At 44.5% G+C, this 16,446-nt stretch overlaps 1 pseudogene across 1 annotated transcript, besides 2 other annotated features; it reads right to left on the bottom strand.

Moving 5' to 3' along the window:
* Nucleotides 5,439-6,178: an enhancer, noted in NCBI's record as "H3K4me1 hESC enhancer chr2:175594551-175595290 (GRCh37/hg19 assembly coordinates)". NCBI's record gives its function as "activates a minimal SCP1, AML or CMV promoter by ChIP-STARR-seq in primed H9 embryonic stem cells {active_cell/tissue: H9 hESC(primed)}" and the evidence as "EXISTENCE:reporter gene assay evidence [ECO:0000049][PMID:30033119]".
* Nucleotides 5,546-5,840: a silencer, noted in NCBI's record as "tiled region #13988; HepG2 Repressive non-DNase unmatched - State 20:ReprD, and K562 Repressive non-DNase unmatched - State 21:Repr". NCBI's record gives its function as "represses a minimal TATA promoter and a strong SV40 promoter by Sharpr-MPRA in HepG2 and K562 cells {active_cell/tissue: HepG2 | K562}" and the evidence as "EXISTENCE:reporter gene assay evidence [ECO:0000049][PMID:27701403]".
* H3P6 (H3 histone pseudogene 6) lies at nucleotides 15,143-16,201 on the bottom strand (annotated as a pseudogene). The gene has a single exon (NR_002315.1). The product of NR_002315.1 is annotated as a H3 histone pseudogene 6 (transcript).
* Nucleotides 16,202-16,446: the final 245 nt, after the last annotated feature.

The raw sequence follows: 16,446 nt of genomic DNA, 5'->3' as shown, positions 1-16,446 counted from the left end.
GATCTCAGCTCACTGCAACCTCCACCTCCTGGGTTCAAACGATTCTCCTGCCTCAGCCTCCCAAGTAGCAGGGGTTACAGGCATGTGCCACCACACCCGGCTAACTTTGTATTTTTAGTAGAGACGGGGTTTCCCCATGCTGGTCAGGCTGGTATTGAACTCCCGACCTCAGGTGATCTACCCGCCTCAGCCTCCCAAAGTGCCGGGATTACAGGCATAAGCCACTGTGCCTGGTCACTCTTAAACGTTATTTCTTTCTCAAACTTTAAAGTGCCCCAACCCTAATCTGGATACTTCAAAGGATTCTAGCTCAGATATGGGTTTGATTGTTAAATGCCCAAATGAAACTTCAGAAAATAACCAATTCATACCAAGATAAATTATAGTGTAATTTTTATTTTAGTTCAGAAAATCTAAGTGAAAGGTAGGGATATTCATCTTCCTACTTGAAAGAGTTAACTCAGTTCTAAAGTTGTATGATTACCTAGCCTAGTGAAAAGATTAAAATTTGGTGATAAAGCTGTACCTAGTGGAACTGAGGACTTATTTGGGTGGGGCGATTAGGCCATTTTCTAGACTGAACACATTTACCTGATATGGGGCTCTCTGTGAGCTCAGCCAGTTGATGGACCCTTGGCTGGGGTAGCCGAAGGAGGCTTACCTGAGGCAGTGATGCTTGAACTGAACTCTGAAAAATGAGTTGAGGTTAACAGGGCAAAGATGAGGAAGAGAATTGTCTTTGTTCAAGTGACTTGAGAGTATAAGGGTCCTGATATAGTAAAATGTACAGAACTTGCCTCCAAAGACCAAAGAAAGTCAGATAACTGGAATCAGAGTGAGGGGAAGGGTGGCATAGCCAACATGTGTCTGCAGAGATGCACAGGGCCTGGATTACCCAGAACCTTTGGATTAAAAAATTTAATCTCCAAAGAATGTACAAACAGCCAATAAGCACATGAAAAGATGCTCAATATCATTTCAGGGAAATACAAATCAAAACCACAGTGAGACACCACCGTCGCCCACTAAGATGGCTACAGTAAAAAAGAAGGATCGTAACAAGTGTCAACAAGAATGTGGAGAAATGAGAACCCTCATATGTTCCTGCAGGGAATGTGAAAGGGCAGTGCCACACTGGAAAAGAGTTTGGCAGTCCACAAACAGTTCAACAGAGTTACCATTTGACCTGGCCATTCCACTCCTATGTACATACCCAGGAGAAATGAAAACAAACACCTGTGTGTGGATGCTCAGAGCAGCATTACTCGTAATAGCCAAAAAAATGGAAATGAGCCAAAAGTCTAAGTGACAGACAGAGAAACAAAATGTGGTGTACCCATATGTACTAGTTTGCTAGGGCTGCTGTAACAAAGTGTACAACAACCTAAACAACAGAAATGTGTTGTCTCACAGCCCTGGAGGCTGGAAGTCTGAGGTGAGGTCAAGGCGTCACGGTGGTTGGTTCCTCTGTTCCAGCCCTCTTTCTTTGGCTTATAAATCTCTGTCTTTGTGTTCGAACAGCTGTCTCCCTGTATGCACCACTGTGTTGAAATTTTCCCTCTCTATAAGGACACCAGTTACTGGATTAGGACCTGCCCTACTTACCTCATTTTAGCATGATTATCTTGAAAGATCCGGTCATCACATAAGGCCACATTTTGAGGTGCTGGAGTTTAGGACATCAACATATGAATTTCTTGGGGACAAAATTCAACTCATAACACTGTACAGTGAAATATTATTCAGCCATGAAAACGAATGAAGTGTTGATCCATGCTACAACATGGCTGAACTCTGAAAATATTATCCTAAGTGAAAAAAGGCAGACACGAAAGGCCACATATTGTGTAATTCCCTTTATGTAGGATGTCCAGAATAGGCAAATATATCAAAGTGGCAAGGAGACTATTGGTTATCTAGGCTTGGGAATGTTGTTGGTGATAGCTAAAGGATACAGAAATGTGAAGGGTGGGGGTGAAAATGTTCTGAAGTTGATTTTGTGATGGATGCTAAAAACCATTGAGTTGTATATTTTAAAATGTATGGTACGTGAATTATATCTCAATAAAACTGTTAAAGGGGGAAAAGTTATATCAGAAAAAACTTCCAGAGCTTATTGATCAGAAAAAAAAAAACCTACATGTTTTCTTTAAAAATTAGAGCTGAGATATGTCCAGGCCCCAGGGCCCTCCTGTCTCAGATTGGCTGGCGCTGCAGGCTTTCACACACTTGATTTCTTCCATGGTGAGGTTTGTACAGAGTGCAACATATATTTGGACAGACGAGTAGCAAATTTGTTTCTCTAATTTGTCTTCCTTACATAGTTTCTGAGAGAAGGGTTCATTGGTAATCTTGTTGCCAGTTGGAAAAATTTTTATCCTTATCTGTCTGGAAAATTAAGTCTATTTTATCTTTTTCCTCAAGGTAATTTTGTCCAGGTTTGATAGCAGGTCACCTTTCTGGGGATTCCATGCTCCTAGTGACAGAAGGGGACCCAACAACTCTCCCTGCCCCGAGGATGTGTAAAGTGACACCAGACTTACTCTTCCGCTTTAATGTTAAATAAAAAAGAAGCTGAGCTATGATTTTGTAAGATACAACCAAAATGGAGACTAGAAGGAGATTGTGCAAGGATGGTTCTGCCCTAAACTGTCTGAGAAAGGGAGAGAAATGCTTCCACCAGCAGGCACAGCACTTGTGGGAATAAACGGGAAGGTTCGTGCTTGTGCTGAGTGCGGTCTGGGGAGTAATAGACATTTTCACGAGAGGCTGCAGGATGGGGAGAGACACTTCAGGCCAGAGTTGGGCAGAGCTTATCCTGGCTTAACTGGGGGCAGGAGGTGTCCAGAAGCATAGGGAGGTTTTTGTCAACTAAGGAACAGTGCTGATGCGGCAAGAACGGGAACAGGGCAGGGCATGGAACCCAGAGGGAAGACGGGGGTGATCCCCGACTTCAGGTGGAGTGACAGTGGGCAGGCAGTCGCAGTCCTGTCAAGGCCAAGGGTATTTGGAGGGGCCTGTGGTTCTGTAGTCTCCCACTGTCTACCTAGGAGGTGGCTGTAACCTAGCCCTGGGGGTAGAGAAAGGAACTTTAGGGGGGCTTCTCCATAGAGGTCAGGAGAGGAAGGGGCTTCAGGAGAAGATAAGCAGCAGCCTTGGCCCTTGGGGTTGGCCTGCCCTCATCTTCCCTCTGTTCACTTTCACATCTTCATGTTTGTAATGCAAAGTTCATTTGGAAACTTGTAGCCTCTTTTAGTTGGACTAAAGGCATCAAAGGAAGGGGGTATAGCTTTTGTTCACATTTAGGCTGCCATTCTACAGGACAGCTGGGCGTGAACGGAGTACTACCTGCAATAAGAAAGCGGGAGAGGAGAAATTCGGTAGGGGGTGGTTTGCACAGCAGCTCCCCCCAGACAAAGATTCTGCTGCCAGACGCAACCTTCCTATCATCAAGGACGGAAAACTGAGGCTGGAGAAATTCTTTACAAACAAACCTTGTTATACCATCTTCCCGAACACATGTCTACCCAATTAGCTCCCTCGCCCAAGTCCCTTTGTCTTTCCTCATTTTCACAACTTACTATGCTTTGTCCAATTCAGTACATAAGTAACAGATTCTAACGGCTTCTTTGGGATTTCATTTCCGTATGAGGGCTCCTGTGCCACATAAAACTTGTATTAAGTGAATTTGTATGTTTTTCTTCTGTTGATCTATCTTATATCAATTTAATTCTTGAGTCCAGCCAGGACCCCAAGGGGATGGAGGTGCAGTTCTGCCTCCCCTACAGTTTCTGGTGACAAGGGAGGGACCCTAAAAGGCAGGGATGCCCACTAGCTCTGCAGCTTGGAGATGGGACTGGGAAGACTGACAAAAGATGGTAGAAAGTAGGAAATCTCACCCAGTCAGCTCTTAGATCTCTGTCTGTAGTGGCCATTCGAGAAAGGGAGGTAAACATTGTTCGTCGTCTTTTCCTTTCCAATTCAGATTGGTAGGAGAAAACATTTATAAGAATTAATTTTTCAAATTGTGACTCTTGTGAATTTGGTTCTGAGTACCCATTGGTTATAGATCACAGCCTCCCAGGAATGGTCCTTGTTTTCCTTGTCTCTGTCTTTTGTGTAGTTTGTCATAAGGAGGAAAATCATAAGATTTGGCCTTCATCTTGTTTTATGTCTTGAGAGCTTAGCTCGGGAACCAGTGAGGATATTCTCTGTGGTCTTTGCCAGCAGAAGTCGCACGTTGTCAGGCTTGCTTCAGGCGGCTAGCCAACTGGCTAGGAGTCCAGAACCAAAGTATCTCTTTGTCCCACTGTGCCAGCTCTTAGGGGAGTTTGTCTTAATTGTCTCAACTTCATTGCCTTGTTTTTAAAAAGGTCTGGCCGTTCTTAGGATATTCGGAGCAATTTGGATGCCAAGGCGGACAGTGTGCTTTTGCACCCTCTCTTGGAGGCACTTCTTGAGCCCATGGTTAAGTGATAAAAGGCTTCTTGGTTTTAAGCCATGAAAAGGCTTGTTGGTTTTGAGTCACAATTGAAATAGGTATACTTCTAAAAATTTGGACTTTTGTATCTAAAAGGGTTTTATTGTTGTTGTTGTTTTTTTTTTTTTTTTTTTTTTTTTTGAGAGACGGAATCTCGCTCTGTTGCCCAGGCTGGAGTAGAGTGGCACTATCTTGGCTTACTGCAACCTCCACCTCCCGGGTTCAAGCGATTCTCCTGCCTCAGTGTCCCAAGTAGCTGGGACTACAGGCATGCGCCACCAAGCCCAGCTAATTTTTGTATTTTTTAGTAGAGACGGGGTTTCACTATATGTTGTTCCAGGCTGGTCTGGAACTCCTGATCTCGGGCGATCCACCCGCCTTGGCCTCCCAAAGTGCTGGGACTACAGGCGTGAGCCACCGCGCCCAGCCAGTTGTTTGTTTTTAAAGAGTGCTCTCATCCTAAGCTGTCCTATTGGGTACCTATGGGAAAATCAAATTAAACGACACAAAATAATTTAATGGCTACCCTTAGCGATTCCCTTAGCAAGATTAAAGAACACAATCAGACTTAAAACAAAAATTCAATCCACACCGCTATAAATTTTCCCTGGGTGGTGAGACTGCAAAAGGCACTTAAGTCACCAAAGCCCGGGACTTGGCAGGAGGCCCCAGCGTGGAGGCTGCAGCTCATGCTGACCAGGAAGGCCCGGAGCATCTCACGGTCATGAAAGGGCCTCCGCCCTCACGCAGGAGGTCCCCGGAGGCAGGTCTGGAACTCCGTCCAGTCCTCAGAGTGGCAGTGCACTAGCGACCCTGACTACGAGCTCCAGGAACAGGCGAAACCTGCCGCACTCAGCTCCTAGGGGCCCCAATTCTGACAAAGGGAGCCTGCAGCACTCTGTGTAGGATCCTTAAAGTCTTTGATGGGCTTAGAGCTAGAACCAACCAACCAGAGAGGAGAAAGAAAACGGATTCAAAGACAGGAAATACAATCGGCTAAAAGCAGCGTTTAATAGCCGCGTCCTGGCTAGGGAAGGGAAGGCACCAATGCGAGGCCTGCGTGGCTGAGTGGCGTCACCTTGCCCTTCCCGTGTAATGGGACCAAGGAAGAAGCACAGACCTACTGCCCGGGGCTCCCGCCCTCCACAGCCCCTCCCCTCCGGGTTTCCCAGCGCGGGAGCTATGGGGCAAGTGCACTGCCTCGCCGCTCCACACTCGCTTGAACGCGTAAGAAATCCTCGTCAGACTCAGCTCCGGGCTGGGAGGGCTTGCGGAGGCAGCGGCGCAGCAAGCTGGCCCCAGCCCGGGTGGCAGTTCGCACCCACGCACGTCCAGCCGGGGTCACCACCTGGAAGCGCTGCATCCCATCACCTGCGTCGGGTCCTTCCAGTGCCCACCGATTCCACTGCCCAGTTACGGGGAGGATTGTACGGGGGGTGGGGAGGGACACACAGCACCTCACGCACGCCGAGGGCACCAGGACCCTCTAGCAGCGACGCGCCTCAAGTCGCTGCAGAAGCTGCAGAAGGTACATCTAGCCCTGTCTGCATGGGCTCCTTCGGCGGAAGGGAACATCTCACACTCCAACCCGAGCAAATCTAGCGCTCCTGCCAACACCGCCCGCCGCAACAGCAACGAATTCATCCATCCCAGATTCGCCACCAGGGTCCGACGGTTCTGTCCCCGCGGGCCTTACCACTTGGCTTGCGGTGTTGACGCTGGACTGTCCGAAGGCTTTTGGCAAAGTTGCTTCCCAAGCATGTTTACTGTGGAAGGGTGAACAGCCACCAAAGACACCACCTGCAACACAAGTACATAGGAGGTTAAGAGCCACGTGTCTTTTCTGAATTAAGGGTAAAAGTGAGAGTTTCAGGAAGATGATGCTTATAATTAGAAACTCTTAACTTTCCCCCACTTTTACCTTTTTAGATCCATGGTTCAATTGCAAATACCTTCATTAAGCTTAATTGTCATTTTTTTTTAAAGGGAGGACAGGGGTTGCATTGGCAGGACTCACTTGTTCCTTCCCATAGGTCTGGTTCATTCCTCCCTGGGCACTTCCTGGCTGGGACTCGGGTGTCCCCGGCATATCACCGACTGCTCTGAGCCCCTCTGAGGCTGTCTACTAGGGAGAGTGCTGGTGGAACTGTGTGATCCAGAAATAACGCTCTTAAAAGTCTATGTTTTTATGATAATTACAGAATAGAATTTTAACATTGGAATTAACTTTTACTCCAACATTTCTCTATATAGTTGCAAAACTAGTTCAGAAATCTTAATGATCCACTTTTCCTTAAGAAGAATTGCATTTCTGTTTCCAGAAAGAATGCCTTGTGAAGAAGCTGCCCCCTCTTTAAATACACAGATCACAAAGCAAGTGGGAAAACAGATCTACATAGATACACAAATATTTATTCCTTCCACAAATGGAAGGATGCTGAGTGTTCTCCGTACCCGGCGCCATTCTTGGTCCTTGGGATATAACGATAAATCAAAATCAGGAAATATTTTATTTTACATAATAGATAATAAACTGAAGTAGAAATGATAAAATTTTTTAAATGGCATTAGAGGGCAGAGAGGAAATAAACAAGGAAATCTGTAAAATAGGTTGTGGCACCTTGGATAATGAGGCAGGAGGCAGGGTGGTTGGGAAAAGCCCTGGGAGGAGAACTGTGAGTGGAACCCGGATGGAGTCTAGCAGCAGGCACAGACCGGGAGGCCAGTGAAGCTGGGAAATGCCCGACACCCTTGGGTGGAGAACAAGGTAGACTGAAGAACAAGACAGATTTTCAGGTCATTACAACACCAGGAAAGGAGAAATCCCTGTTCCTGTCAAGCTTCCGAACCACTCTGATCTCTCTACACAAGACCAGCCCTGGCCGGGCGCGGTGCCTCACACCTGTAATCCTAGCACTTTGGGAGGCCAAGGCAGGTGGATAACCTGAGGTCAGGAGTTCGAGACCGGCCTGGCTAACATGGTGAAACCCTGTCTCTACTAAAAATACAAAAATTAGCCGGGTGTGGTGGCAGGCGCCTGTAATTCCAGCTACTTTCGGAGGCTGAGGCAGGAGAATCGCTTGAACCCAAGAGGTGGAGGTTGCAGTGAGCCGAGATGGCGCCATTGCATTCCAGCCTGGGTAACAAGAGCGAAACTCCATCTCAAAACACACACACGCACGCACACACACACCACCACCACCACCAACAAACCAGCCTTTTCCAGGAACACCCACCTGTTGCTGCGGGGGAGGATGGTTCTCAAGGCTTCCTCCCACAAAGGTTAACACCAGGACAACATTTTCCTTCATTTCCACCAATTCCATCATAATAACTTCCAAATAATAAGACATTCAAATACATTATCTTCAATTTAGCTCAATCTGAACTTTCATATTGGGGCCCTTTGCAACCCATGCATTTTAAAGAAGTCTATTGCTTTTTATGCATTTTTTAAGCAATAGGCTTCTTTAAAATGCATTAAATAATGAATTTAGCTGCTACACAGGAACACTGAATAATTTTTCTTAATAACCTCAGTTGTATGAACCTGACATATTTTCAGAAAAAAAATAATAATAACCTCAGTTGACCAAGAAAGATAAGAAGTTACTAGAAAGATATTCACTTTTTAATTCAACTAAGTAAATATCAATATTTTTACCATCGAATACCAAAATATATTTAAATTATTTTCTATAACTAAAATAAGATTATTTTCTATAACTAAAATAAGATTATCTGCTTTGGGATTTTTATTTTCTTCCAAAAAAATAAAGATCTGTATCTTAAGAAAAATAAGTATTTACTTTTTAATTGTTTCATATATGTGAAGACTTTTTGATTTTAGAACATTTAATTGACAACGATTGTATATATTTAAGGTATACAACATGATGATATACATTTAAACACATATATTGTGTAATTGTTACAGCACAGAGGTCCGGATCCAGACCTCAAGAGAGAGTTCTTGGATCTCGAGCAACAAAGAATTCAGAGCAAGTCCGCAGTGCAAAGTAAAAGCAAGTTTATTAAGAAAGTAAAATGGTGAAAGGACAGCTACTCCTTAGACAGAGTAGGGCCTTCCCGAAAGTAAGAGGAGGAACGCATGCACCCTATGTACAGTGCTGCTATATATATAGGATAAAAATAGATCTTGGGGAGATGTGCTCTGCTACGAGGGTTTGTGATAAAGGATTAATTTTCGTAATTACTACCTTTTGTAAGAATCAATATTATTATCTTTAAGGCAAAATTAAGAATGCCTTTGTTCTCCAGATATCGGGATATCTGGACACTCCCAAGTCTGGGTCTGTTTTAGTAAACATTATTAATCTGTTCCCTTTACTGTAAACATCCAGAGGCCAGGAATGCCTGATTTTCTGGGAATGCAGCCCAGCCAATCTCAGCCTCATTTTCCTAGCCCTCACTCAAAATGGAGTCGCTCTGGTTCGAAAGCCCCTGACATAATGATTACTAGTGAAAGCCATTTTTAAAAACAAACGTAAAGTTACTTTGCAGTGAGCAATTTAAAATACAGTTAGTCAAATAGACTTCACATTCAGATTCATGTACAGATGAGTAAATAGTAAGTTTCCAACAATACTAAATTGATTAATAAAAAAGAAATATAACCTTTTTTTTCAATTTGCAAATGACTTCTTCATTTCAATGAATTTGAAGAAGGAAACAGAACCCTCTGAGTTCACAGAAGCTTGTGGAGGGAATCATCACTGTCAACATCAGCAGCTCAGGCAGTTCTCACCATGACACTGTCATATTTCAAAGCTTATTTTTGTTGTTGTTGTTGTTGTTGTTGTTGTTTTGAGACAGAGTCTGGCTCTGTCACACAGGCTGGAGTGCAGTGGCATGATCTCATCTCATTGCAGCTTCAACTTCCCAGGCTCAAGCGATCCTCCCACTACAGCCTCCCGAGTAGCTGGGACTACAGATATGTGCCACCACGCCTAGCTAATTTTTGTATTTTTTTGGTTCAGAGATGAGGTTTCTCCATGTTGCCCAGGCTTTAAAGCTTATTTTCTATGTCAAGTACTTGGAAGTCAGAACATCTTGTTCCACAGGAACCAGGCAACATCCTGTATGGCTAGACCTGTAGGGCAGCCACAACAGCCACCCACCACACAGGACAACAGCAGCAGCACCCCAGAGCCACGGGTACAAAACAATGCACCTGGAATCCCAATCTGGGGTTCTCATTTTCTGCCCCAGCAGCAGGAGTGAGGAGAACTGGAGGTGTCAGGTGACCAGCAGATCTGTGAGGCAGAAGTGGAGTTGAGACCCCCAGAGAGGGCTGGCTGAATCTCTGCCCCTGTCTTCCCATCTGCTCTGCCCACAGGCTGGCCAGTTGGCCTCTAAGTCACCTGTCACTCCATCCAGGGTCTCCCTCTTAGCCTCTGAGCCCAACACAATAAGGCTCAAGAATGTATTTCCAAGGGTTTTCCCAGCTAGAAAAGAGAGAGAAAAAAAGCAGAAGGAAAAGGTCTATCCATGGTACTCAGGGCAGAATGAGTCAATCCCCACAGAAACTCCAAGGTTCCCTAAGCTTCCCCACCTGTCTCCACCAGCCACCTAGACAAGCCCCAAATTAGCTGTAGGTAAGGAGTTTTTCAACCACTGAGGACTTGCCAAGCACAGAGTGGCCCTCTAAGTCTAGATGAGAACTAAGACCTCTGAGCACATGCCAAAATCCAATCCAGCACAATCCAGAAATGTCACTGTGTGACCATACAAACTCTGCACAAGACACAGGGTGGGGCATTTGCACAGGACAGAGGGTACATGCATTAGTGACAAAGAGGAAAAAGAAACTAGTCTCTTTCAGGGTGCAAACCCCTCACCAGCATTTCAGATGGGAAGCTCCCAGGGCACACCAGCCCACCCACCAGGTTATAACAATGCCCCTTTCTCCTTTGGACACAGGACACCTCAGGCCACACCCCAGGAGTGCAGGCTAGGTTGGGCTGCTGACTTCTAGATACTGGGTGCTTGGTGAGCCTTTTGTTTCTACTGAGTAAGAAGAAATACAAAGAATAATATTACAAAGAGTCTTATTCCAGTACACCTAAAATTAATTATTATCATTATATCATATTTGCTTCAATTTTACTAAAGAAAAAAAAAACAACAAGGACTAGAGCTAAAAGTACAGTCCCAAACATCCTCAGGCCCAGCCCCACCCCTGTCTTCCACTCTGCATCCCTTGCAATGATCAGGGCCTTGATGGACATGCTTAGTCCATTTTAAATATTTTTCTAGGCATGAAAATGAACCCAAGAACAATATAAGGATTGTTTTTGTGCCTTTAAAATTTAGAAAAAATATATACATTTTATATGTTCTACAATTTTTTTATTTTTATTTTTTTTTGAGACAAGGTCTTACTCTGTTGCCCAGAGAGCAACACAGTAAGAGAGAGAGAGTGGCACAATCACGGTTCACTGCAGCCTCCACCTCCTGGGCTCAAGTGATCCTTCTGCCTCAGTCTCCCGAGTAGCTGGGACTACAGGCTTGTGCCTTGGCAGCTTCCATGTGGTGTTGAGCCTGCAGGTGCACAGAAGTCAAGAATTGAGGTTTGGGAACCTCCGTCTAAATTTCAGAGGATATATGGAAACACCTGGATGCCCAGGTAGAAGTTTGCTGCAGGAGCAGGGCTCTCATGGAGAACCTCTGCTAGGGCAGTGCAGAAGGGAAATGTGGAGTGGGAGCCCCCACACAGAGTCCCTACTGGGACACTGCCTAGTAGAGCTGTTAGAAGAGGGGGCCACTGTCCTCCAGACCCCAGAATGGTAGATCCATTAACAGCTTGCACCGTGCACCTGGAAAAGCCACAGACACTCAACGCCAGCCCATGAAAGCAGCCAGAAGGGGCTGTACCCTGCAAAGCCACAGGGGTGGAGCTGCCCAAGACTATGGGAACCCACCTCTTGCATCAGTGTGACCTGGATGTGAGACATGGAGTCAAAGGACATCATTTTGGAGTTTTAAGATTTGACTGCCCCACTGGATTTTGGACTTGCATGGGGCCTGTAGGCCCTTTGTTTTGACCAATTTCTCCCATTTGGAATGGCTGTATTTACCCAATGCCTATACCCCCACTGTATCTAGAAAGTAACTAACTTGCTTTTGATTTTACATGCTCATAGGCGGAAGGGACTTGCCTTGTCTCCGATGAGTCTTTGGACTGTGAACTTTTGAGTTAATGCCAAAATGAGTTGAGACTTTGGGGGACTGTTGGGAGGGCATTATTGGTTTTGAAATGTGAAGACATGAGATTTGGGAGGGCCCAGGGGCAGAATGATATGGTTTGGCTGTGTCCCCACCCAAATCTCATCTTGAATTGTAACTCCCACAATTCCCACATGTCATGGGAGGAACCTAGTGGGAGGTAATTGAATCATGGGGGTGGGTCTTTCCTGTGCTGTTCTTGTGATAGTGAATAAGTCTCATGAGATCTGATGCTTTTAAAAATGGGAGTTTCTCTGCACAAGCTCTCTCTTTGCCTGCTTCCATCCATGTAAGATGTGACTTCCGCCTCTTTGCCTTCCACCATGATTGTGAGGCCTCCCCAGCCACATGGAACTGTAAGTCCCATAAACTTCTTTCTTTTGTAAATTACCCAGTCTCGTGTATGTCTTTATCAGCGTGAAAACAGACTAATGCATTGACTCACAGTTCCACATGGCTGGGGAGGCCTCACAATTACAGTGGAAAGCAAAGGAGAAGCAAAGGCATATCTTACATGACAGCAGGCAAGCGAGCATGTACAGGGGAGCTCTCCTTTATAAAACCATTAGATCTCAGGAGACTTATTCACTATCATGAGAAAAACACAGGAAAAACCCACCCTCATGATTCAATTACCTGTCACTGGGTCCCTCCCATGACACATGGGAGCTACAATTCAAGATGAGATTTGAGTGGGGACAAATATCAGCCATATCAATGGGGTTTTGCCATGTTGCCCAGGCTGGTCTCAAACTCTTGGCCTCAAGTGATCCTCTCACCTCAGCCTCCCAAAGTGCTGGGATCACAGGCATGAGCCACTGTGCCTGGCCCTAGTTCTTTAGGTTTCACAATAGCAATGCTGTCTACAGGAGTAATTGAGGAAGTTATAAATCTTGTGACTGCTTACTTGACTCAGGGCAGTAAGCAAATTATGGAAAAGCAAGTGAAGCCATGGCAGGTTGTTTAACTATGCCTATATTTTAGCAAATTTCAAGCCCCTCCCATAATGCTAACCTTGTGACCTTCTGTTAGTCTTTACAAACATGGTTTCAATTTTTGAACAAGGAAGGGATCCATTCAAGGAAAGTACTAGTATAGCCTCTGTGCATGAATGAGCAAAAGCAATTTAGCATGCTAGGAGCAAGATGGAGTCAGTTATGTCAGATTTCCCTTGCTACTATAGTTTTTGCAAAGGTGATTTCAGCTGCTTAGACTTAGGAAAAATGGGCTTCACAGACAATTCTCAATTGAATTCAAGCTGAGGCAACCATGATCCAATAGCTGTCCTCTGGCAGCGTCAGAACTCATCAACTGCATAAACCATATCTCCACTGTGCCCAGGTACGGCTGGGCCCCACTGGTAGGATATCCTCCTGAGAACCTGCATATGCTTATCCAAGTTCACAGCACATCTCGGACCACTTCCACAAACCTCTCCAGGTGAACTCTGCAGAGCTCTGTTTGCAGCCCTTTACCTCCTTGGAACAGCATTTCATCAAAGAGTCATCATGTCATGCCTAGGAACAAGGTTTACAGCTACATAAATGTCATTACTGAGCTAAAAACTACACTGAATTTTTAAATGATTTTAGGTTAAAAATAAAAGGATAGGAAGAGAGAAAAAGTTGATGGCCACTCCTGAAAGTTCCCTAGGTGGTTAGCCATTTGAAGGGGTCAACTGAAAGTTATGCCCCTTCCTCCTGCAACAGGGGTGCCTCTGCCTAACTGTTGCAGAAAGACCAGACTGAATTCACCCACAATCCATGTGACGTGTATGTGTTTTGTTTTTTTTCATTTTTTTATGACAGGGTCTTGCTCTGTCACCCAGGCTGGAGTGCAGTGGTGCAATCACAGCTCACTGCAGGCTCAAACTCGTGGCTAAAGCAATCCTCAGCCTCCTGAGTAGCTGGGAATGTCAGATTTCCCTTGCTATGATAGTTTTTGCAAAGGTGATTTCAGCTGCTCAGGAAAAAGATGTCCAATAACAAAAGGTAGCAAATAGCATCATACAGCCATTAGGAAACTTAGGAGAAATGGACTTCACAGGTAATTCTCAATCAAATTCAGGTGCATGCCACCATGCCTGGCTAATATTTTGAAAAATTTTGTGTAGTGATGGTGTCTCACTATGTTGCCCAGGCTGTGTGTGTATATGTGTGTTTGGGAGGGTGCAGTTCACAAGCAGCAGTTACCACATGTCAAGAATTATGTAAACAACACTAAGTTTTCTATGACACATCATTGCTAAATTTTCCTCTCTTTTTCTTAGAATCCTATTCTAAAGGTGAAAGACACAATACTGAAGCAGAAGGAAAATAAAAACATAACAAAGGAGGATGCTCTTTCATAAGTTAGATGAGGACAACATAGGAAACAATGATTCTGGGTTAAATCAATAGTGCATGGAGAAAAGAAAATCAAGTGACCACATGTGCAGGACACTCCTAGAATTAGCGGGGAACCACAGGACGGACCCAAGCTCTTCCCTCTTGCAGACTGGGCAACCCACACTACACAACTCACAACCCCTGGCCTTGGTGCCTTAGAGCTTTCCAGGAAAAAGACGGATTTATATTAATAATCAACCAAGAGAAATTAGAGATCTACAGACACATGTCAAATAACAAAAGGTAGCAAATAACATCATATAGCCATTAAAAACTAGGACAGGAAGGACCTCAACGACTGGAAAACTGAAGTCACCATACAGTATAGAAATGGTTATTGCATGTCACAAAAACATTACACGTACATGCACTTGTGTTAGAAAAAGATTCACCAAAATACTGAATTCACATTACAGTATGTGTCCATACTTCTATTTGTATTCTTAGATACAGTTCAGGTTGTTTTTCAGTGAGCATGTATTATTTTTAAGTATCATTAAGTGCTGGCAGAGAGATAGCACTGAGATCAGAGAAAGATGAGCATACTTCCAGCTGTAGTCTCCAAGATTGGTGTCCTTGGGGACATGGGGCCAAGGGATAGGAAGGATTAGACCTATCAGGAAAGATGGTAGAGCACTCTGAGCAGGTCGGAGAAAGCAGCATGGGACAAGGAACTCACCCTGGAGTGGGGGTGTGGGAGAGGGCCAGGCAGGAACTTCAAGGACAGGCAAAGCAATCTGCACAGAATCCTATCAATACTGCAGGGCCACAGAAGTGATACGAGTAAGAGAAAGGGACCAATTGAGGAACAGAAAGAAAGAAAATCTAAAAAACTGACGATACCAAGCATTGGTGAAAATGTGGAGCAACTGGAACTCTCATTCATATGTTGCTGGATAAGAATGTGAAATTGTACAGCCACTGATGTTGGCTGTATGACCCGGCAATTCCAAACCTAAGTATCTGCCCCAAAGCAACAAACACACATGCCCACACACAAATGTGTATGCATATATTTATACCAACATTTTCTTTTTTTTTTTTTTATAGTTTAATGTATTTTAATAGCAAACTTACAGGAACAGCACAGAAGACAGACAACATTAAAAACATGTACTTGCATGTAGGACAACTCAGTTAGAAAAGTATAGTGAATGGATGGAATCTACTGTATGATAAAAATGCTACAAACACCATTTAGTTGCCATCAATAAGAAATTTACTTGTTTTAAAAAAATCCAAATGCTGGCATTGTCCAGAAAAATTTAACAGGTTTATTTATAATTATTATAAAGTTGAACCGCTGAAACTTGTTCACTGAAACATTTTAACTTGCATTAATGCTTTACGTCTCCGCATTTATATTAAAAATTCACACACAAATGAAAATGGAAAAACTGCCAATACCTGATTTCTGTCCCCTATTTTTCCACTCGCAATCATATACTTAGGTACCTTTTGACCCCATGGAAAAAAAATATCTAACGTTCAGAACTACCAATAACAGGAAGAAGAGAAATTTTTTTTTTTTTTTTGAGAATGAAATGTTTCCCATCATAGTGGATTCTTAAGCACGTTCTCCACGTATGCGGCGTGCTAGCTGGATGTCTTTTGGCATAATTGTTACACGTTTGGCATGGATAGCACACAGGTTGGTGTCTTCAAAAAGGCCAACCAGATAGGCCTCACTTGCCTCCTGCAAAGCACCGATAGCTGCGCTCTGGAAGCGCAGATCTGTTTTAAAGTCCTGAGCAATTTCTCGCACCAGACGCTGGAAGGGAAGTTTGCGAATCAGAAGTTCAGTGGACTTCTGATAACGTCTAATTTCACGGAGCGCCACAGTACCAGGCCTGTAACGATGAGGTTTCTTCACCCCTCCAGTAGAGGGCGCACTCTTGCGAGCGGCTTTTGTAGCCAGTTGCTTCCTGGGTGCTTTACCACCGGTCGATTTGCGGGCAGTCTGCTTTGTACGAGCCATGGTACAGAGACCTCCTTACTTACCCCCCTTCTCCTTCGGCTGGAGCTCGGCGAGCGAGAGGCGGCGCTGGCGTTGGAGAGCGACGGCGGCGCGGCGGCGGCTGCGAACCTATACCAACATTTTCTACTAGTAAAAAAAAAAATCAGAAGCAACCCAAATGGCTACCACAAGTAAAATGACCCATGTGGAAATGTATTGTCTGAAACTCTACATCACGGGCTCTTGTCCCTGTGGCGTCTGTGGATGCAAAATATTAAGTTTGGTGCATTTTTCTGGGGAACAAGGAGCTTTTTGAGTCTCAAAGAGTATGGTGGTCAGTTTTATGTGTCAATTTGATGAGGCTCTATTGCCTA

This window comes from Homo sapiens, chromosome 2, assembly GCF_000001405.40.
Source record: "Homo sapiens chromosome 2, GRCh38.p14 Primary Assembly".
Taxonomy (NCBI): Eukaryota; Metazoa; Chordata; class Mammalia; order Primates; family Hominidae; genus Homo; species Homo sapiens.
The sequence above is the reverse complement of the archived record's forward strand: the minus strand, read 5'-3'. Positions and strand labels throughout refer to the sequence as shown.